Below are 21,448 nucleotides of genomic sequence, written 5' to 3'. Positions count from 1 at the left end.
CCCAAGTAGCCGGGATTACAGGCATGCGCCACCATGCCAGCTCATGTTTTTGTATTTTCAGTAGAGATGGGGTTTCACCATGTTGGCCAGGCTGGTCTTGAACTCCTGACCTCAAATGATCCACCTGCCTTGGCCTCCCAAAGTGCTGGAATTACAGGTGTGAGCCACCGTGCCCGGCCACCTTTCCCTGCTCTTTAATCATGTAAATGCTGTGTTCTGGAGTTTCATTTGTCCACAAAGGAAAAGTCTAAATGTTTTAGAAATTAAGGTTGAAGTTTATGTTTATTTATTTATTTGAAACCTAAATATAGGGGAGGAATTCTCTTTTGGATGCTTGATCGTTCCCCTGCTTCAATATGATTTGTTTCATTGAACTAAAATGATCTCTCAGGGAATCTTCTGTGCAGCAGAATATTTTGACAAGGTTTATCAACGTCTCAAGAGAATGGTTAATATTAACATGAATAGCTCCATGTTTTTTTCTATTTTAGTCTTGCTGGTGGATGCCCTCCTTACTCCCCAATATATACGTCTTGGATAGACTGTTGGTGCATGCTACAAAAAGAGGTATTTCTTTTTCTCTGTCTCTCTCATTTTATTTTGTTTTATTTTTATTTATTTGTTTTCTTAAATATTGTCTCTGGAATCCCAAGTTAACTCTTGTAGCTCACTTTAGCTAGAGTTAGTCTAGTCTGCCAGTTAATGTACACTTTACAGTGTTCTGTGTTTTCACTTTGGCATAATAGTAAAATGTGATGTTTAGAAATCATGAGCAGGAGTAATGAAGAAGAAAGAATCCCTAGATGAGACCTAGAAGCCATTTGAGTGCCCACATTCAACTTACAAATACGATCCAGGTAGATTATTATCCTGGTAAAATGATGGCCTTGATTTTAGACTCTTTTTTTCCCCCAAACTCACCTTTCATAACCACTTATTTGTCACAGTGGTATTGACAGAGCTGGTCTTATACTTCTAGAGTCTTGTTAGTGGATGATTTTGCCTAGATACCAATTTAGGGTTTGTTATTACTATGAGGTGTATAATCTGCAACAAAAAATTATTTATTATCTAGGCAAAGCTTTATTGGAAAATAAAATAATGGGCTGGGTGCAGTGGCTCACGCTTATAATTCTAGCACTTCGAGAGGTCTAGGTGGGCAAATTGCTTGAGCCTAGGAGTTTGAGACCAGTTGAGGCAACATGATGAGACCTCATTGCTACAGAAAATACAAAAACTTAGCCAGGCATAGCACCTATAGTCCCAGCTACCCAGGAGGCTAAGGTGGGAGGATCACCTGAGCCCAGGAGGTCAAGGCTGCAGTGAGCCAAGATTGCATCACCGCACTTCAGCCTGGGTGACAGAGTGAGACCCTGTATCCAAAAAAGGAAAATAAAATAACGGCTAGGTATGGTGGCTCATGCCTATAGTTCCAGTTACTCAGGAGGCTGAGCCAGGAGGATCACATGAGTCCAGGAGTTTGAGGCCAGCCTGGGCAACACAGCCAGACGTGTCTCTTAACAAAAAACTACAGGCCAGGTGCAGTGGCTCACAGGTGTAATCCCAGCACTTTGGGAGGCCAAGGCGGGCAGATCACTTGAGGTCAGGAGTTTGAGACCAGCCTGGGCAACGCAGTGAAACCCCATCTCTACTAAAATACAAAAGAAATTAGCTGGGCGTAGCAGCGTGTGCCTGTAGTCCCAGCTACTGGGGAGGCTGAGGGAAGAGAATTGCTTTAACCCAGGAGGTGGAGGTTGCAGTGAGCCAAGATTGTGCCACTGCACTCCAGCCTGGGTGACAGAGCAAGACTCCATCTCAAAAAAAAAAAAAAGACAATAACAACAACAAATGGATTGGCTGTGGGCTAAATTTAGCACAGGATCACTTAAAATGATTATCAGTTTAAAGCTGTTTTTGAAGGGGGGTCCACTTCTTAAAAGATTGTAGAAGAAAGCGTATAAAGAAGCTCTTTGTTGCATTATTTTATAGCACTAGTGATATATAAGAGAAAGGCCTTTGAAATCTGAATGAAAAGGCCTAAGTGTTGTTTGTAGTTGCTCTTGCTTAGTGTGCCCACAAAGCCCCTCTGTGAATCCAAGCTTGAATACTTGAATGATTTCAGTACAGACCTACTATGAACATTGTGCATTTCATTCTGAGTTTTACTCTCTATTGTACAGTGTGGTCCCTGTTTAAATGGAAAAAATGGCCTTTCCTTCCTTCCTTTTCTGACTAACACTCTGTTATAGGAAGAAAGCAGACAGAGAATGGATTACGGTGTCAAACACACTTAAAGTAGGAACAGTTGTTCCTGTAGGTGCTTACAACAACAGCAAATCTTGATTGGGCATTTACTGTATACCAGATATCATGCTAAGAGCTTTTCTTACATCAGCTCATGTAATCCTCAAAACAGCTGTGTGAGAATAGGTGTCATTCTTAATCACCCATTTCACATATGAAGAAACTGGGGCTTAGAGCAGTTTAGTGCCAATTACATAATGCAAGGTCACATGGCCTATATTTGGGAAGGCTCAGATTTATACTCCAGAGTGTACTCAGTTGCACTCAGAACATTATTACTTTATTTTTATTTACTTATTTGGTTCTTTATTTTTTAGAGACAAGCTCTGTCGCCCAGGCTGGTGTGCAGTGGTGGCATCACAACTCACTGTAGCCTCAAACTCCTGGGGTAAAGCAATCCTCCTACCTCAGCCTCCCAAGTAGCTAGGACTACAGGCATGCTTCCACCATGTCCTGTTAATTTTTTTGTTTTGTTTTGTTTTTGAGACAGGGTCTCACTCTGTCACCCAGGCTGGAGTGCAGTGGCATGGTATTGGCTCACTGCAACCTCTGCCTCCTGGCTGAGGTCTCTGGCTCAAGTGATCGTCCCACCTCAGCATCCCAGGTAGCTTGGACTACAGGCACATACCGCTAAGCCCAGCTCATTTTTTTGTTTTTTGTTTTTTGTTTTTTTTAATTTTATTATTATTATACTTTTAAGTTTTAGGGTACATGTGCACAACGTGCAGGTTTGTTACATATGTATACATGTGCCGTGTTGGTGTGCTGCACCCATTAACTCATCATTTAGCATTAGGTATATCTCCTAATGCTATCCCTCCCCCCTCACCCCTGTTTTTTGTTTTTTGTTTGTTTGTTTTTTTGTTTTGTTTTGTTTTGTTTTGTTTGAGACGGAGGCTTGCTCTGTCATCCAGGCTAGAGTGCAATAGCACGATCTTGGCTCACTGCAACCTTCACCTCCCAGGTTCAAGCAATTCCCCTGCCTCAGCCTCCTGAGTAGCTGGGATTACAGGTGTCCGCCACTACGCCCGGCTAATTTTTGTATTTTTAGTAGAGATGGGGTTTCACTATGTTAGTCAGGCTGGTCTCGAACTCCTGACCTCAGGTGATCTGCCTGCCTCAGCCTCCCAAAGTGCTGAGATTACAGGCGTGAGCCACCATGTCTGCCCAATTTTTTGTATTTTTTGTAGCAACGGGGTTTTGCCATGTTGTGCAGGCTGGTCTCAAATTCCTGAGCTCAAGTGATCCTCCTGCCTTGGTCTCTCAAAGTGCTAGGATTACCGGTGTGAACCATCACACCCGGCCTTTAATTTTTTAATTTCTTGTAGAGATGGGGTCTTACTATGTTGTCCAGGTTGTTATTACTTTGATTATAAGATTTTATAAGTAGTCCTTAGAAACATGATTTCATTTCATTAAGAAATAAATAGGCCGGGTATGGTGGATCACACCCGTAATCCCTGCACTTTTGGGAGGCCAAGATAGGCGGATCACTTGAGGTCAGGAGTTTGAGACCAGCCTGGCCAATATGGTGAAACCCCACCTCCACTAAAAGTACAAAAATTAGCCAGGCACGGTGGCGCGTTCCTTTCCCAGCTACTTAGGAGGCTGAGGCAGGAGAATCGCTTGAACCTGGGAGGCAGAGGTTGCAGTGAGCCGAGATTGCACCACTGCACTACAGCCTGGGCAACAGAGCGAGACTCCATCTCAAAAAAGAAAAACAAAGAAATAAATGAAAGCTAGCACTTACTGAATGTTAGGCACTGTTCTACATGACTCATTTGCTAAGCCAGCTGGAAAGTGGCAAAGCCAGAATCCAACCTGGGCGTTCTGTCTGCCCAGAGTAAGAACTTAATAAGGAGAAATTGTAGTTAGTTCATAGTAGCTCAGCCTTTCAGAGAATACTAATCCTTGTTCTGTAGTGATAGTCCCAGTTTTGTCCTAGATTTAGTCACGTCTCCCAATTGGACCTCTCTGCTGATTTGGATTGGCTGATCTCATCTCGCTAGATATTATTTGTGTTTTGTTTTGTTTTGTTTTCCAGGGGAATATGAGCCGAGGAAATAGCTTATTTTTCCGGAAGGTCCCCTTTGGGAAGACTTATTGTTGTGACCTGAAAATGTTAATTTGAAGATGTGGGGCAGGGACAGTGACATTTCTGTAGTCCCAGATGCACAGAATTATGGGAGAGAATGTTGATTTCTATACAGTGTGGCGCGCTTTTTTAATAATCATTTAATCTTGGGAAAATTCAGGTGTTTGGTGTCTGCCTTTTTTGTTCTTTTTTCCAGCACAACATAACTTACCACTGATACTCCCCCTTTAGTTATTCTGAATTAGGATATTTTTGCTCCAAATTCTTATTTTACTTAACCAGAAGGGAAAAAAAGTTGTATTTTCCTGAAGCTACAGGCACTTTGTCATGTGATTTTTGAGTCTCAATTTAAGGCTTTGTAAAATGAAGAGTAGAATTCCAAGAAAAATGAGAAATAATTTTGTAAAACTTAACAAAATCACTAAATTAAACTATATGGGAGGTTATGAATTACTTTTTCTTGGGTAGACCCTAAAATGTCAGTAGCATGCACCAGAATCTGACTCCCATTATGCTTCTAAGCACATTTCATTGACCTTGTCTCTCATACTTCAAGAAAAGGACAGTACATTGCTACATTACCCTAGAAAGTCTGTGTGAGGATCTGCCCCTTCAGTCTGTTATTGCAAAGTAATAAAATGTCACCTACAGGGAGCCTCTGAGCCTACTCTAGTTCAAGAGGCTACCTGAAAAAAAATAAATAAGATAAAGGGTCAGCAACAACAAAGAAAAAGACAATTACAGAAAATAAGCAAGATTTGGAAAGGAAGTATAATGGCACTTTTTTCCTCAAAGGAAGTTCTTGTTTTCACATAAAATATGAAAAGCAGATCCTGCAGGAGTAACCCCCTTCTTTAAGAGCCAAGTATTTGCCAGTGCTTAAATTACACCATACAGTTCTAATTATATATAATCTTTTGTTCTTCAGTTTTTTGTTTTGTTTCCTTTTTGTTATTGTTGCCGAAGGTGAGTAGTTTTGCATTTCTGATGACAGCCTTGGAAAGTATATTTGTAACTCCATGTCTGGTAATGCCAACCCAAGTCGACATGGGTCTTAGGACACTGACCACCTCACATGCCATACCCTCAGTTAAGCATGTTAACATTTATAGGAGGAAAAAAATCACTTTGGGAGAAAATAAAATTCAACTCAAGCATAAAGCTTCTGTTTACTCAGGCCTTCTAAAAAGCAGGTTAAAATGCTCTAAAATGAGAAAGCCTGTGGTTTCACTTATTTATATAACTCACTGGGACATTGCCAAATGAGTAAGCACTTAATTCGCTGCTTCTGAGACTTCTCTGTCAAAACAGCCCCACTGATAATATTAGACAGAACGAGAATGCAGGGGTCTCTTCCCTCCCCTGGGGTTTAGGAAGCTCATGAGGAGCTCGGCTTAAAATGTCTTTGATGTCTCTTCCTTTGTCTCAAAAAGTAATGTCAATTTTATATACTATTTCAATATTACTATCTGCATTTGTTTTAATATAAAAATGTTTGCTGCCTACCTTTTTCTCCCAAAAAATCTTTAAGTAAAGATGATCTGGGAAAATGTGCCATGTTTATCCTGTGGCTTCTGTGAACTTTCATGCTTGCCTATTCCTAGTTGAGAAGCATGTCTGACTCTGATAACCAGTCTACCACCAGAGGACGCCAAGGCTTCAGTTTTTCCTGTGCAAGTTGGGTGGCTGAGAAATTTCTCCAAGGCCTAGGATTGCTCAAAATACTAGTCCAGCTGTTTCAGTCTTGCTGCATCCAAGCTAGAGGTCTAGTCAGAGTCCTATACCTATGATCCTCCATAATATCTTACTATAAGCTACTAACATAAAAGTCTAAAGATATTCAGGGGCTAGGAAATGCAGGTAGGTGCCATTAAGAAACACATGCGACCGGGCGCAATGGCTCATGCCTGCAATCACAGCACTTTGGGAGGCCGAGGCAGGTGGTTCACCTGAGGTCGAGAATTCGAGACCATCCTGACCAACATGAAGAAACCCTGTCTCTACTAAAAATAACAAAATTAGCCGGGCATGGTGGCACATGCCTGTAATCCCAGCTATGCGGGAGGCTGAGGCAGGAGAATCTCTTGAAACCCAGGAGGTGGAGGTTGCAATGAACTGAGATCACGCCATTGCACTCCAGCCTGGGCAACAAGAGTGAAACTCCCATCTCTTAAAAAAAAAAAAAAGAAAAAAAAAGAAACACATGCAAGAAATAATGAACTCAGTAAGTAATATGAACTTAGGCTGGTTGTGGTGGCCCATACCTGTAATCCTAACACTTTGGGAGGCTGAGGCAGGTGGATCACTTGAGGCCAAGAGTTGGAGACCAGCCTGGCCAATATATCTACTAAAAATACAAAAAAATTAGTCGGGCATGGTGGCACGCACCTGTAGTTCAGGAGGCTGAGGCAGGAGAATCGCTTGAACCTGGGAGCTGGAGGTTGCAGTGACCCAAGATTGTGCCACTGGGTGACAGAGTGAGACTCTGTCTCTTAAAAAAAAGAAAAAGAAAAGTAGGGGTTCTCTAGTAAGCCACTTGTGAAACTGGTTTTCCTTTGTGGTACCAAGCTAAGTTGCCACAAACTGTTCCTCTAGAGTATGTGGTGACCATTGAAACCTTGACTTAAGAAGAGTGTGGGGTGGGCTGGGGGCAGTGGATCACTTGAGTCCAGGAGCTCAAGACCAGCCCGGGCAACATGGTAAAACCCTGTCTCTATTTTTTAAAGAAATAAAGGGAGGAAAATTAGCTGGGCGTGGTGGCACATGCCTGTAATCCCAGCTACTTGGGAGGCTGAGGCATGAGAATCGCTTGAACCCAGGAAGCGGAGGTTGCGGTAAGCTGAGATCGTGCCATTGCACTCCAGCCTAGGCAACAAGAGTGAAACTGCATCTTAAAAATAAAGAAGGTATGGGTTTCCTGGAACTTTGGGGGATCATTATAAAAATACTAGGGTAAAAAAGCAACCTTAGTAATCCCAGCAATTTGGGAGGCCGAGGCGGGTGGATCATGAGGTCAGGAATTTGAGACCAGCCTGACCAACATGGTGAAACCCTGTCTCTACTAATACAAAAATTAGGCGTGGTGGCGGGCACCTGTAATCCCAGCTACTCAGGAGGCTGAGGCAGGAGAATCGCTTGAAATCGGAAGGTGGAGGTTGCAGTGAGCTGAGATTGCCCCACTGCACTCCCGCCTGGTCAACAAGAGTGAAACTCTGTCTCAAAAAAAAAAAAAAGCAACCTTAGGATGAAAGAAACATTCAACATAAGCCCTATATTCCATCATCTCTGTTACCTCAGCATACCTTGACTTAACTATAATTTCCTATTCTAGAAATGTCCTCCCCCTCTTGCCAGTGACATGTTTCTGTACTGTCAGATTCAGTTCTAGTGCCATCTCTTTGTGAAGTCACTGAGAGTCCCAACTGGGTGAGAGGGCTGTGCCTTCAAACTCTCCCTCCTTCAGAGCATGTAATGATAGTACAAACTAACTGACAAAAACTACATCCAACACCAAGTTCATGTTTTATACAGCAGGAGCATTACTTCTCTCTGATTTGAAAATCTGTGGGGGAAAAATATATATTTAGTCCTTTAAAACAGGCCAACTAAAACAGCCTGCTTGGATAATATAGTGAGACCTTTTCTCAACACAAAAATTTAAAAATTAGCCAGGCTTGGTGGTGTGCACCTGTAGTGCCAGCTACACAGGAGGCTGAAGTGGGACGACTGGTTGAGTCCTGGGAGGTTGAGGCTGTACTGACCTATGGTCGCACCACTGCACTCCAGCCTAGGTGTCAACTGAGAGCCAAAAAAAAAAAAAAAAAAAAAAAAAAAAAAGCCTCACTGGGCTTTATAGAAAAGCTAGTGGGGTCGTGGCTGGTCTAAGTGCAGCAGTATTGCAACTAGTTGATCACAACCAGTTAACAGATTTTTTTTTCCTTCTCCCTTTCCACTGCTTCACTTAGCCTTTAAAATGTATATTAAAATAAAAGACTGGGTGCGGTGGCTCACGCCTGTAATCCCAGAACTTTGGGAGGCCGAGGTGGGCAGATCACTTGAGGCCAGGAGTTCGAGACCAGCCTGGCTAACATGGTGAAACCCCATCTCTACTAAAATTACAAAAATTAGGTATGGAGGCGCATGCCTATAATTCCAGCTACTTAGGAGACTGAAGCAGGAGAATCGCTGAAACCCAGGAGGTGGAGGTTGCAGTGAGCCAAGGTTGCGCCAACGTACTCCGGCCTGGGCAACAGAGCAAGACTGTCTCAAAGAAAAAAAAGAGGCTGAGGCAGGAGAATTGCCTCAACGTGGGAGGCGGAGGTTGCAGTGGGCAAAAATGGTGCCATTGCACTCCAGCCTGGGCAACAAGCAAAACTCCGTCTCAAAAAAAAAGAAAAAAGAAAAACTAGCTGGTCAAGTGGTAGTAATTGTAGGTGGTCATTTTAAGGTACTGTGGCAGATAAGGGAGCAAGACAGGAGAACAGATTGGTTAGTAGTGACTGCCAAGCCTGTTGTAGAAGTTCTAATTGTCATGATTTTTTGGTAGGATAGGCATCCTCGTTTTATGTGAGACTCTAATTAAGCAACTCACTCGAAATCATAGTCAGGAATTTTCAGGGCTGAATTCAAACCAGGGTCTATCAAATTCCAAGGTTTTTTTTTTTCCTTAATAATTCTTCCAGGACATGAAGCCAGTCGAGGCATTTTTATTCTTTCGTGGAGGCTATAAAATGCTAAAATTGTAGCCAGTAAACCACATTGTGTTTTTGTGTTTGTTTGTTTGTTTGTTTGTTTTTGAGACAAGGTCTCTCTCTGTCTTGCAGTGGCTGATCTCGGCTCACTGCAACCTCCACCTCCTGGGTTCAAGCAATTCTCGTTTCTCACTCTCCCAAGTAGCTGGGATTACAGGTGCATGTCACCACCCGCGGCTCATTTTTTTGTATTTTTAGTAGAGACGGGCTTTCACCATGTTGGCTAGGCTGGTCTTGAACTCCTGACCTCAAATGATCTGCCTGGGCCTCCCAAAGTGCTGTGATTACAGGCATGAGCCACTGTGCCCAGCCAAACCAAATGTTATGTAAGCCATCCATCTGAGGAAAGTGGGCCTGCATTTGTAGTCAAAGCAGTGAACAAGCTCCCAACAGAGTAGAATGGTCTTAAATAAGGAAAGACAGATCTTGCCTCTGCAGAATTATAAATAGCGGAAACAACTGAAAATAGAAATGATCACCATTACTTTTCTAGACTATTATGATGGTTTATATAGATGAAAAGCTAAGTTACTGTATGGCAAGGATTTCTTCCTAGAGAAGAAATCTTCCTAGAGGTACCATTAGTTCAGTGTAGTAGAACTCCTAAGACATTTGGCTGGTAACATTTCTTGAAACTGATCTATGTGTCAGCACCTCTACTGGGTGCTTCTAAAACATCCTTGCAGAATGGATGGGTTCATTCAGGCTGCCTCCCAAGGTGGCATGGTAGTTTCTATTTTGGCATTTTTGTTTTTGTTTTTTTAAATACAAAGATATTTGTCTTACCTCCTTTTCAGAGCTCTGTTTAGGCTTTCCTAAAGAAGTCACAAGTGCTGGGTGCAGTAGCTTATGCCTGTAATCCCAGCATTTTGTGTTTTTTTGTTTTGTTTTGTTTTGTTTGTTTTTGAGACAGTCTCAAAAACACTGTGCCCAGCCAATCCCAGCACTTTGGGAGGCTAAGGTGGGAGGATCACTTGAGTTCTGGAGTTTGAGACCAGCCTAGACAACATAGTGAGATCCTGTCTCTACTAAAACTAAAAAAAAAAAAATTAGCCAGGCATGGTGGAACACATCTGTAGTCCCAGCTACTTGGGAGGCTGGGGCCAGAGAAACCTGAGCCCAGGAGTTTGAGGCTGCGGTGAGCTATCATTGTGCCACTGCACTCCAGCCTGGGTGACAGAGCAAGATCTTGACTTAAAGGAAAAAGTCACATGTGACATCTCATTTTATATTTTTCCCCCTTCTATTCATCTCTCATCTTATTTTTCCCTTTAAACTTGAAAGGAGTCAGAATCTTGCACTCTGATTTTTGCCCTGGAGGGGAAGTTGCCAGTGAGAGATTCTTTTACCACCAACCAAAAATTAGCACTTCTTTTTTTTTTTTTTTTTGAGATAGGGTCTCACTCTGGTTGCCCAGGCTGGACTGAAGTGTAGTGGTGCAGTCTCAGCTCACTGCAGCCTCCACTTCCCAAGCTCAGATGATTCTCCCACCTCAGCCTCCCAAGTAGCTGGGATTACAAGTGTGCGCCACCACATCTGGCTAATTTTTTTTTTGAGATGGAGTCTTGCCCTGTTGCCCAGGCTGGAGTGCAGTGGCACGATCTCGGCTCACCGCAACCTCTGCCTCCCAGGTTCACACCATTCTGCGTCAGCCCCCAAGTAGCTGGGACTACAGGTGCCCGCCACCACGCCCGGCTAATTTTTTTGTATTTTTAGTAGAGACGGGGTTTCACTGTGTTAGCCAGGATGGTCTTGATCTCCTGACCTCATGATCCGCCCATCTCAGCCTCCCAAAGTGCTGGGATTACAGGCGTGAGCCACCGCGCCCGGCCCACACATCTGGCTAATTTTTTTTTGTATTTTTAGTAGAGACAGGGTTTGCTATATTGTTGCCCAGGCTGGTCTTGAACTCCCGGACTCAAGCCATCTGCCTACCTAGGCCTCCCAGAGTGCTGGGATTACTGGTGTAAGCCACTATGCCTGGCCAAAAAATAGCTTCTTTTCAGGAGACTATCTTGGCTAAGAATGAGGATTAATTTTCTAAAGTGAGTGAAAGTTTTCCTTCTATCCAATCTTCCCCATATGACAGCTTCCTCATACATTTGCTGTCTAGAGAGAGGTCCTAGGGAGACCCCTTCCAGTGCATGAGTTAAGTGTTCTGGTCGCCAGTGTCCCATGATTATAAGATGGAATTGCAAAGAGCCCATCTTGCCTTGGTCTAAGTAGAGTCCTCTGTACTCTGGGCACCAAATCTCTTGTCTGGAACTAAGCAGATTTTGCATGAAAACTGTAATTGCTCTGGAATCATCTTATTGCAACTCTGAAAAAGAATGTTTTTAAGTAGATTCCGATCAGTACCATACCACAATACGGTTAGAGGTTGGTACTTGAGAGAGTGGAAGAAGAGGAAGAGAAACCAGTGTGACCTGCAGATGTTATTCAGGACTCAGCAGCTTCCTGAGAGGCAGCAAATAAGGAAACAAATCTTGTCCTCTCTCCAAGTCTCCAAGATGACACGTGGACGAAAGAAAAGTTTGTAACACCAGCCTCTGCCTCGCCAAGGCAGCCAAGAGAATGGACTATTCCCTGGCAGTGCCACATTTCCATGGAAAATCTATTAGGTATTGCTTTTATTTCCACACAGAGTAGCATGAAGAGCCAGAGGTTGGATAAGGACAAGCCAGCACTGCACCTACTCTGGCTGGCCATCTAGCCGGGGCCCTGCCCTTCTGGCATCAGACTGGTGAGAGTGTCCTTTGGCTGGAAAAAAGACAGAGGGTGAAGATGGAAACAACAGAACCATGCCTCACCTCAGACTGCTCACTTTTTGCTGGAATCTCATGCCTTTCCTCCCCCTGAGGGGCTCACATTTAGAGTTTATAAATGCAACTGTCAGTCATTAAGTGAGTAGCTTGGGCAGAGTTCTGTGCGAGGGGCAGCAGAGGATGCAAAGGCCTATAATCTCCCTGTCCTCTTTGGCGCTTACTGTCCACTGACAGGGAGGCAGAATGACAAGAACATAAAACTCTAGGAGTATTGGAGGATTAAGTGAAACCATATGTACAACAGTGAGGCCTGGTGCCCTGAAAGAAGGTATTCGTTGAAGCTCTTTTAACACTCTCTGATGATGGTTCTACAAAGCAGGATACGGCATGAGAAGCCGGAACCAAGCACCATGGGATGCACAGAGAGAAAGCTTACATCCATTTGGGGAGATCAGAGACTTCATGAAGAAGCGGCTCCGATTGTGGCTTTGTCAGGATAGTGGGGATCTTGGGTGGCAGGATGATGGGATGGCAGCAATTTCTAGCTGTCACTAGCTGTGAGACCTTGGGAAAGTTGGTCATTTTAAGCCTCAGGCTCCTCATGTCTAGAATGCAAAGTAATACTCATTACAGTTTTCTTTTCTTTTTGAGACGGAGTTTTGCCCTTTCGCCCAGGCTGGAGTGAAGTGGCTCGATCTCGGCTCACTGCAACCTCTGCCTCCTGGGTTCAAGTGATTCTCATGCCTCAGCCTCCTGAGTAGCTGGGATTACAGGCACGTGCCATCACACCCGGCTAACTTTTGTATTTTTAGTAGAGACGGGGTTTTGCCATGTTACCCAGGCTGGTCTCAAACTCCTGACCTCAGGTGATCCACCCTCCTCGGCCTCCCAAAGTGCTAGGATTACAGGGATGAGCCACCATGCCCACCCTAGAGTATTAGATTTAGTACCATGTCTGGCATAGAGTAAATATTTGGTATGTGATAGTTATTAGAATTTTAAGAATTAGAAGGGAGGGGCTACTTTCCAAGTATAGACAATAATATGGGCAAAGTTACGGCGTTAGTAAAGGCTAAAGCATTTGGAGGCAAGTGGAATTGCATCTCTTACTGTCCTAACCTTTCTTCAAAGCTGGATTTCTGCCATATAATGAGCACCTAGAACAGGGACTGGCACATGGTAGAGACTCCACAGATGTGTGTTGAACAAAGTCAGCTGCCTCCTAGCTGTATCCACTGAATATCCACTGAATGTCCTTGAGGATCCCCAAACTGAGTTACATCTCAAGCCCTCTTCCCAAGCCTGTGGTGGTACTTGCACTCTAAATTCTATTATAAACACAGCATTATGCCCCTATTCCCCAAGCTAGAAACCCTGGAGATGAGTTTGTGTCCTCCCTACCCCTCCCTCTGCTTCTAGAAAATCACTGCTGGATTCTCAGAAACGCCTCTGAATTTGTCACCTCCCTTTCTTTCCCGTCGCCTTTAGGCATCATCTCTGCTCAGCTGTTGCTGCAGCCTCTATCTTGTCTTCCTGCTGCCAGCTCAAGGCAGTAGGCAGTAGATAAAGCTGGAGTTCTACCATCTTTGACCAGGGTACAGAGGATGGCCATGACTCTCCTCTACCTACACAGGCTTCTGGCAGAGGATAAAATACTGCTTTTTGACCCAGGTTTCTTAAGATTTCTTTTCTTCTCTTTTCTTTTTTTTTTTTTTTTTTTTTTTTTGAGACAGAGTCTCGCTCTGTCACCCAGGCTGGAGTGCAGTGGCACGATCCCAACTCACTGCAACCTCCGTCTCCCGGGTTCAAGTGATTCTCCTGCCTCAGCCTCCCTAGTAGCTGGGATTATAGGCACCTGCCATGATGCCTGGCTTTTTTTTTTTTTTTTTTTTTTTGATACAGAATCTCACTCTGTCGCCCAGGCTGGAGTGCAGTGGCACAATCTTGGCTCACTGCAACCTCCACCTCCCAGGTTCAAGCAATTCTCCTGCCTCAGCCTCCCAAGAGTAGCTGGGATCACAGGTGCCTGCCACCACATCCGGCTAATTTTTTGTATTTTTAGTAGAGACGGGGTTTTGCCATGTTGCCCAGGCTGGTCTCAAACTCCTGACCTCAGGTGATCCGCCCGCCTCGGCCTCCCAAAGTGCTGGGATTATAAGCGTGAGCCACCGCGCCCGGGCTCCTTGAGATTTTTTTTTCTTTTTTCTTTTTTTTTTTTTTTTTTTTTTGAGACAGAGTTTTGCTCTTGTTACCCCAGCTGGAGTGCAATGGCGTGATCTCAGGTCACCGCAACTTCCGCCCCCCAAGTTCAAGGATTCTCCTGCCTCAGCCTCCCAAGTAACAGGGATTATAGGTGTGCACCACCACACCCTACTTTTTTTTTTTTTTTTTTTTTGAGACAGAGTCTTGCTCTGTCGCCCAGGCTGGAGGGCAGTGGCACGATCTCGGCTCACTGCAAGCTCCGCCTCCCGGGTTCACGCCATTCTCCTGCCTCAGCCTCCCAAGTAGCTGGGACTACAGGTGCCCACCACCACGCCCGGCTAATTTTTTGTATTTTTAGTAGAGATGGGGTTTCACCATGTTAGCCAGGATGGTCTTGATCTTCTGACCTCATGATCTGCCTGCCTCAGCCTCCCAAAGTGCTGGGATTACAGGCATGAGCCACCGCAATCGGCCAAGATTTCTTGACCTAGCGTCTTTAATCCTTCCGCCCCAAGCCCACATGCAGCCCCAGTTCCCCAACAGCCTCTGCTCTGTACATTTGTGCCGCACTGGCAGCTGCTCTCTGTGTCTGTTGTCTTCCACGGAAGCCTTGTGCAGGAGGAGCTGAGCTGAGAGACAGGGCTATTTATAAATAGAAAGTGGGTGTAAAGTTCTGCAGTCACAAGTGTTTTAAACAAGACTAATTCCATCATCTCCCCCAATCGAACTTTGAAATTTCTGTCCACCTCCTCATCTCCCATCTTTCTCAAAAGCCTGCAAGTTCTTCTCCTCTCCTTGGTCAAAGCCACCATAAGCCTGGATACCATGGTAGCTAAGAGATGTGACATGGAACAAAGTGTAGGAATTATATAGATTCAGCATAGTCAGAGTCAAAGCTACTGACATAACATAAATGTTCCTACCACCTAGTAATATTTAGTGATGGCTCACCATGTGCCCTGCCCATGTCGCCATTAGCTCCAACCCATAAAACAGCCATATAAGCTAAATACTGCTCCCATTTTAGTAGTGGAAAAGTGAGACTCAGAAGGGTTCATTGATTTGCCCAAGACTGGTGGTAAATAGCAAAGCCCAGATTCTGATATGGGTCTGCAAATCTGGAATTTCTAATATGGCACGCACATGCATTGCGTCCCAGTATTTTTCTGCATGATGATCGGAGCACAGATTTTAACGAAGAGTGAAGTATGAATCTTAATGAGAGGAGGGAACTCGTGGTTTTATTATAATAATGAAAGGATCAACATTGTATGCTCAACAGTTAGTTAGATGCCCAGAAGCCCAACTCAAACTGGCTACATTGGCTCAAGTAATAAAAATGGCCAGTGGTGAATCTGGGGGTTCAAACAAGGGCATCGGGATTCGGTCTTCCCACCCCTCGGCTGGTTTCCCTCTCCGACGGGCTCTCCACATGGCAACAAGATGCCAGCTGGCAGCTCCACTCACATGGCTTCTTAGAGCTTGTGATTCCAGAGAAAGAGCAAAATCACTTTGGAGAGCTCCAGCAAAAATCCCCAGGAGGACTCTGGCTTGAAACACACACCCATCTGTAAAGCATTTGGTGTGTCTGGGAGACGCTAGCCAGGCCTGAGTCACAGGCCCATCTGAAGGGGTAGAGGTCCAGGGTCAGCCCCAGAACCACATACATTCTGCTGTTCTGTTCTGTTTCCTGTCCTCCGCCCCCACACTCTTCTCAGAGCTGGACTGTTTTCTAGTGGGATGCATGGCTCATCCAAGGAAGGTTCACTGGGCAAAGACATACATTACACCCTGTCCAAAAGAAACAGTTTTAATAGAAAGGGAAAAAAACAACAGTTCACCCAGAACATGTGACACGTGAGACTCCATGAAGCTAAGCTGAGCACAGAAGCTGGTGTGTTTGAAACCTTCCATGCACAGGTACATACATATGTCAGCTCAATCACCCCATGAGCCTGATAATAGCCACTTTTTCTCACTTTTTAAGTGAGAGAAATGGAAGCTCAGAGATAAAGATTTAAGTGACTTGCTAGTAAATAGCAAAACTAGAATGCAAACCTGGGTATATTGGAGTCCACATCCTGCAAGCTTTACACCACAGCACACTGCCAAATTGGAGGAAACCAGGTGTTGAGGGTGAGACTGCTAGATGAGCTCGTGGAAGTCGTGTCCCCAGGGAAGCACACATCTGACTGCCTGACGTGCTCTGAGAGCAGCAGGCACTGAGCTGGAGACTGCCCTGTCCTGGTAACTACAGTCTCGCCCAGCTAGTCGCTGAGTGGCTGATAAACTCTTCACATTCATCAATGACAGTTTCCTCTCAGCTGGAAGAAAAAGCTGCCAGGGAGCTGCTCCCCCAACCTTCCTTCTGATGGGGAAAGACTCCCCTGGTGCTGTTGATGAGACAGGAACCAAAGGAGAAAGTTGGATTTGGAAGGAAGGGCATGTGGGCATGGGATGAATGGATGATTGGATAAATAAATAATCCCAGAAAAATGATTTGAAAAGTTAGAAAAAAGTTATGATTCTAAGTTTAGAGACAAGATGGCAATATGGCACAAGAGGGATAGGAAGCTCTGGGATAAATTAGGCTATCGCATTTGCTGAAAATCCCTGTGCAGAGAAAAGGAGAGCCAAAGAAACCAGTGTGGCTCTGTAGAGAGCTCTCTGATAAGTTCAAAATTTAAAAGGTGGGGTACAAGAGACGGAAGGAAAGGTGAAGTCCGTGATAAACTGAGACTTGGAAAAGGTGCAGACAATAAAAGATATTGCTGGTTATGTTCAAGCAAGAGGAAAAAGGAGAAGACAGGGTTCCATCTGGGGATGAAGATGTCAGGTTGGCAGTTTTCAGAGAAAGCAGAATACTCAACTCTGATTTTCCTCTTTCTCCCCCGAGGAAAAGCACTTCCAGACTGGGAAGAGTTCAGCAAAACAGGGGTTAGAGGACATTAAACCCCAAATAGAAGAAAAGATAAGAGAAAACCTAACCACCTAGCCATTCAAAATGAGCTGCAAATCCCAAGGTGATGACAGACCTTTGCAGATAAGATCCAGGGACCTTTGCCAATGTGGCTATGAAAGCTGCGGCGAAAAGGACAGGGGCCACAGTCCTGGACAGCTGCAAATACCCTGACAAAAAAGAAGAAAAGGGAGATCCTGGGCACATTTCCCTCAAAATCTATTCTAGAATATAACATTAAACCATGGATTTGAGAACACCTTGCTTGAGAACACCTAGAAAAATAAGTGGTATCTTCACAAAGAACAAGATGCGGCGAAAATGATAAAAATATCAACAATAATTTGTTACTTATTTACTCAGAAGGCCACTAGGAAAATTCCTTGGGCCATACATAGTGTTCCTTGTTTCCAGTTAGACATTGATTGTCTCACGATTGAAGAGGCTAGTAGGAAAATATCGATCTCAGAGACTGCCCAGTCAGGTGGATTCATGTAACTGCTGTGCTCCTTCACCCCAGTTGGTTATCCGATTGCTGCAGAGCTTGCTGAGGAAGTATCTCTAGTTCTGTGCTCCTAGACCCTGGTCAGCCTAGTAGTGGTCAGTGCCCACTACACTTGCCAAATTTGCAGAAGGCACCACTGTTGGGATGAAAAGCTAATATTTCAAAGTCAAGATTCTAAAATAACTTGAAACAGTGGGCTGAAACCAGCAGGATGAAATTTAAAAGAGTAAGTGGAGAGACCTGCATTTAGATTAAAAAAAAAAAATCAGCTGCATAAGCATAGGATATAGGAAGTTTGGTTTGCCAGAGGTGCCTGAGAAAAAGGCTAAGGGCTTGCAGCTGATCTCAGGTTGAATAGAAACCGGTAGGAATGGAGCAGCTGCTTAAAAAGATAGTGGCTCTCCCCACCTCTTGTTATTTTAGTTACAAAGGGGTGAAACAGTGAAAAATATGGGAGACAGCCGGGCACGGTGGCTCACACCTGTAATCCCAACACTTTGGGAGGCCGAGGCGGGCGGATCACGAGGTCAGATCTAGACCATCCTGGCTAACCCGGTAAAACTCTGTCTCTACTAAAAATACAAAAAAATTAGCCAGGCGTGGTGGCAGGCGCCTGTAGTCCCAGCTACTCGGGAGGCTGAGGCAGGAGAATGGCGTGAACCTGGGAGGCGGAGCTTGCAGTGAGCCAAGATCTCGCCACTGCACTCCAGCCTGGGAGATAGAGCAAGACTCCGTCTCAAAAAAAAACAAAAAAAACAAAAAAGAAAAATATGGGAGACATATTAACAGCAACTGCTGTTAATGGTTTCTAATAGATCCCCTCAGAGGTATTCATTCCAAGTACACATAAGCAAATGCATGCTTTTTATTTTTTCACATAAATGGTGGTATGTTGTGCACCTTGTTTTTTATTTCACTTAACTAACAGCATTTCTTAGCGATTATTTCATCAGTATACAAAATGATTCCTCATTCTTTTGTAGGGATGCATCGTATTCTACTGTATATATGTATCATAATTTATTGGTCCTTTTGCCGGACATGTAGATTATTTCCAGTATTTTGCTATTACAAACAATGCTGCAATAAATAACACGTCATTGCTATTACAAACTGTTTGCTATTACAAGCCATGCTAAAATGAATAAGATGTAATTCCCAACAAGTGGGCATGTATCTGAAAAACATCTCTTCAAGAAGTAAAATCACTGACTTAAAGGGCATGCACATTTTTAAACTTGGTAGATACTGTCCAATTGTGTCATTTTACCCTCCTACTAAAAATGTATGAATGTCTGTTTCTCTACATCTCACCAATAGAATGTATAATAAACCTCATTGATCTTTGACAGTTTGAGAGGTAAAAATAATAACAATAGCATCTTATAATTTTTTTTTTTTTTTTGAGAGAGAGGGTCTTGCTCTATTACCCAGGCTGGAGTGCAGTGGTGCAATCATGGCTCACTGCAGCTTCAACCTCCTGGGATCAAGCAATCCTCCCACTTCAGCCTCCTGAGTAGCTGGAACTATGCGTGTGTGCGACCAAGCCCAGCTAATTTTTTTCTTTTTTTTTTTTTTTTGTGGAGACGGGGTTCTCACCATGTTGCCAAGGCTGGTCTCGAACTCCTGGCCTCAAGTAATCCTCCCACCCTAGGGCTCCCAAAGTGTTGGGATTACAGACATGAGCCACCACGCCCAGCCCACAATACTTATAAGTTTGGTCTGACAGGATTGGCATCGGCATCCCCTGGCTTCCAGAATAAAGTCTGGATGGCATAGGCTGGCACTTGAAATCCTTCATGAGACTGGGTGTGGTGGTTCAGGCCTGTAATCCCAGCACTTTGGGAGGCCAAAGTGGGCAGATCACCTGAGGTCCGGAGTTCGAGACCAGCCTGATCAACATGGAGAAACCCCGTCTCTACTAAAAATACAAAATAAGCCAGGCGTGGTGGCACATGCTTGTAATCCCAGCTACTCAGGAGGCTGAGGCAGGAGAATCTCTTGAACCCGGGAGGCGGAGGTTGCAGTGAGCTGAGATCACACCATTGCACTCCAGCCTGGGCAAGCAGAGTGAAACGCTGTCTCAAAAAATAAAAATAAATAAATAAAAAATCCTTCATGATTGGATTCAACCACATTTTTCTGGGCCTATCTCCCATCAGTAGCTCCACATTCCATACTGCAGCCACACCGATATTATTACTCATTTTTCAAACACACCAAACAGTAGTAACAGCCAACACATACTGAGTGCTCACAGTATACCAGTCTCTGTGCTAAATGTCTTTAATCCTTGCAGCAATGGGGCATACTTTTATTATCCCCATTTCACAGGTGGGGAAACAGGTCATACAAATAATGAAGAAGCTGGGATTCAAACTGAAGCAGTCTGATGCCAGACACTACTCTTCACCATGATTCTGAATTGCCTAAGAGCGTTACCTCCTGCTCCCTGCTCCTTTCTCCCAGAATGCTCTTCAGTCTATTGTTACCTGTCAAAGTCCAGTGCAGCCTTCACTGCTTCGTTTAGGTGTTACCTCTCTGATTAAGCCTAGCTGCATTGCTCCACTTAGAATTAATTTCTCTTCCTAATTTCCACCCAGCCCACAAGGAATGGAGTGCAGGTGTGCCATCTTGGCTCACTGCAGCCTCCACCTATTGGGCTCAAGTGATCCTCCCACACTTTCTGGTTTGTATTTCTGCCTACTCTTTTAAAAACTGAGGGGGCACCCCGGCCAGGCGCGGTGGCTCAAGCCTGTAATCCCAGCACTTTGGGAGGCTGAGGCGGGCGGATCACGAAGTCAGGAGATCGAGACCATCCTGGCTAACATGGTGAAACCCCGTCTCTACTAAAAATACAAAAAATTAGCTGGGCGTGGTGGCGGGCGCATGTAGTCCCAGCTACTCGGGAGGCTGAGGCAGGAGAATGAACCCAGGAGGCGGAGGTTGCAGTGAGCCGAGATCGCGCCACTGCACTCCAGCCTGGGCGACAGAGCAAGACTCCGTCTTAAAAACAAACAAACAAACAAAAAACTGAGGGGGCAATGATAAATTGCTATAAGCCTCTCCCTGCCCCCTTCCCTCCTCCTCCAGCAGTTACTCAACTGGGTTGTAGATTATGTTTACATTCAAGTTGTCTCACCAGTCACTCAGGACTCTTCTGACCTACACTCTGGCAGGCACTACACTGGGGTGAACACAGACAAAGCAATTCAACACAACCCCTCACCAGTCAGAATCAGAATGTGACCAGACGTAGTGGCATGCACCTATAATCCCAGCTCCTTGGGAGGCTGAGGCAGGAGGATTGTGTGAGCCTAGGAGTTCAAGGCAGGCGTGGGCAACAAAGTGAGACCCTGTCTCAAAAAAAAAAAAAAAAAAAAAAGCTGGCCGGGCAAGGTGGCTCATGCCTGTAATCCCAGCACTTTGGGAGGCCGAGGTGGGTGGACACTTTGGGAGGCCAACGCAGGTGGATCAAGAGGTCAGGAGTTTGAGACCAGTCTGGCAAAGATGGTGAAACCCCGCCTTTACTAAAAAAATACAAAAATTAGCCGGGGGTGCAGTGGTGGGCACCTGAAATCCCAGCTACTTGGGAGGCTGAGGCAGGAGAATTGCTTGAACCCGGGAGGCGGAGGTTGCAGTGAGCCGATATTGCGCCACTGTACTCTAGCCTGGGCAACAGAGCAAGACTCTGTCTCAAAAAAAGAAAAGAAAAGAAAAGAAAAGAAAAAAAGCCACAGGGCTTCTCTCTGTTACTCACCTTGGCAGGACACAGCCTTCCTTTTCTCCCTTCCTGCAGGCCATGGAGACCCAAACACTGTCTCCTGCCAGTGCCAATACTACCACTGTTTCAGCTCACAGAAGAGT

The 21,448-nt window shown here is 44.7% G+C and overlaps 1 protein-coding gene across 11 annotated transcripts in view, besides 2 other annotated features; it reads left to right on the top strand.

Annotated features, from left to right (window-relative positions):
• MTCH2 (mitochondrial carrier 2) overlaps nucleotides 1–18,951 on the top strand; it is a 38,243-nt gene extending 19,292 nt beyond the window's left edge. For 7 of the 11 annotated variants that reach the window (XM_047426701.1, XM_017017462.3, NM_001317232.2 and 4 more), the window contains 2 exons: nucleotides 492–567; nucleotides 4,349–5,951. In XM_047426701.1, the coding sequence (XP_047282657.1) occupies nucleotides 492–567; nucleotides 4,349–4,435 (163 nt within the window). In that variant the 3' untranslated portion in view covers nucleotides 4,436–5,951. Of the gene's footprint in view, nucleotides 1–491; nucleotides 568–4,348; nucleotides 5,952–17,013 lie in introns of those variants that run through there. The other 4 variants (XM_047426700.1, XM_011519960.4, XM_011519961.3 and 1 more) reach the window with 1 other exon arrangement.
• Nucleotides 5,656–5,715: a silencer, noted in NCBI's record as "silent region_3336". NCBI's record gives its function as "represses an Ori minimal core promoter by ATAC-STARR-seq in GM12878 lymphoblastoid cells {active_cell/tissue: GM12878}" and the evidence as "EXISTENCE:reporter gene assay evidence [ECO:0000049][PMID:35858748]".
• Nucleotides 11,334–11,383: an enhancer, noted in NCBI's record as "active region_4701". NCBI's record gives its function as "activates an Ori minimal core promoter by ATAC-STARR-seq in GM12878 lymphoblastoid cells {active_cell/tissue: GM12878}" and the evidence as "EXISTENCE:reporter gene assay evidence [ECO:0000049][PMID:35858748]".
• Nucleotides 18,952–21,448: the final 2,497 nt, after the last annotated feature.

The sequence above is a fragment of the Homo sapiens genome, chromosome 11 (genome assembly GCF_000001405.40).
Source record: "Homo sapiens chromosome 11, GRCh38.p14 Primary Assembly".
Lineage (NCBI taxonomy): Eukaryota > Metazoa > Chordata > Mammalia > Primates > Hominidae > Homo > Homo sapiens.
This window is presented reverse-complemented; position numbering and strand designations above follow the sequence as displayed.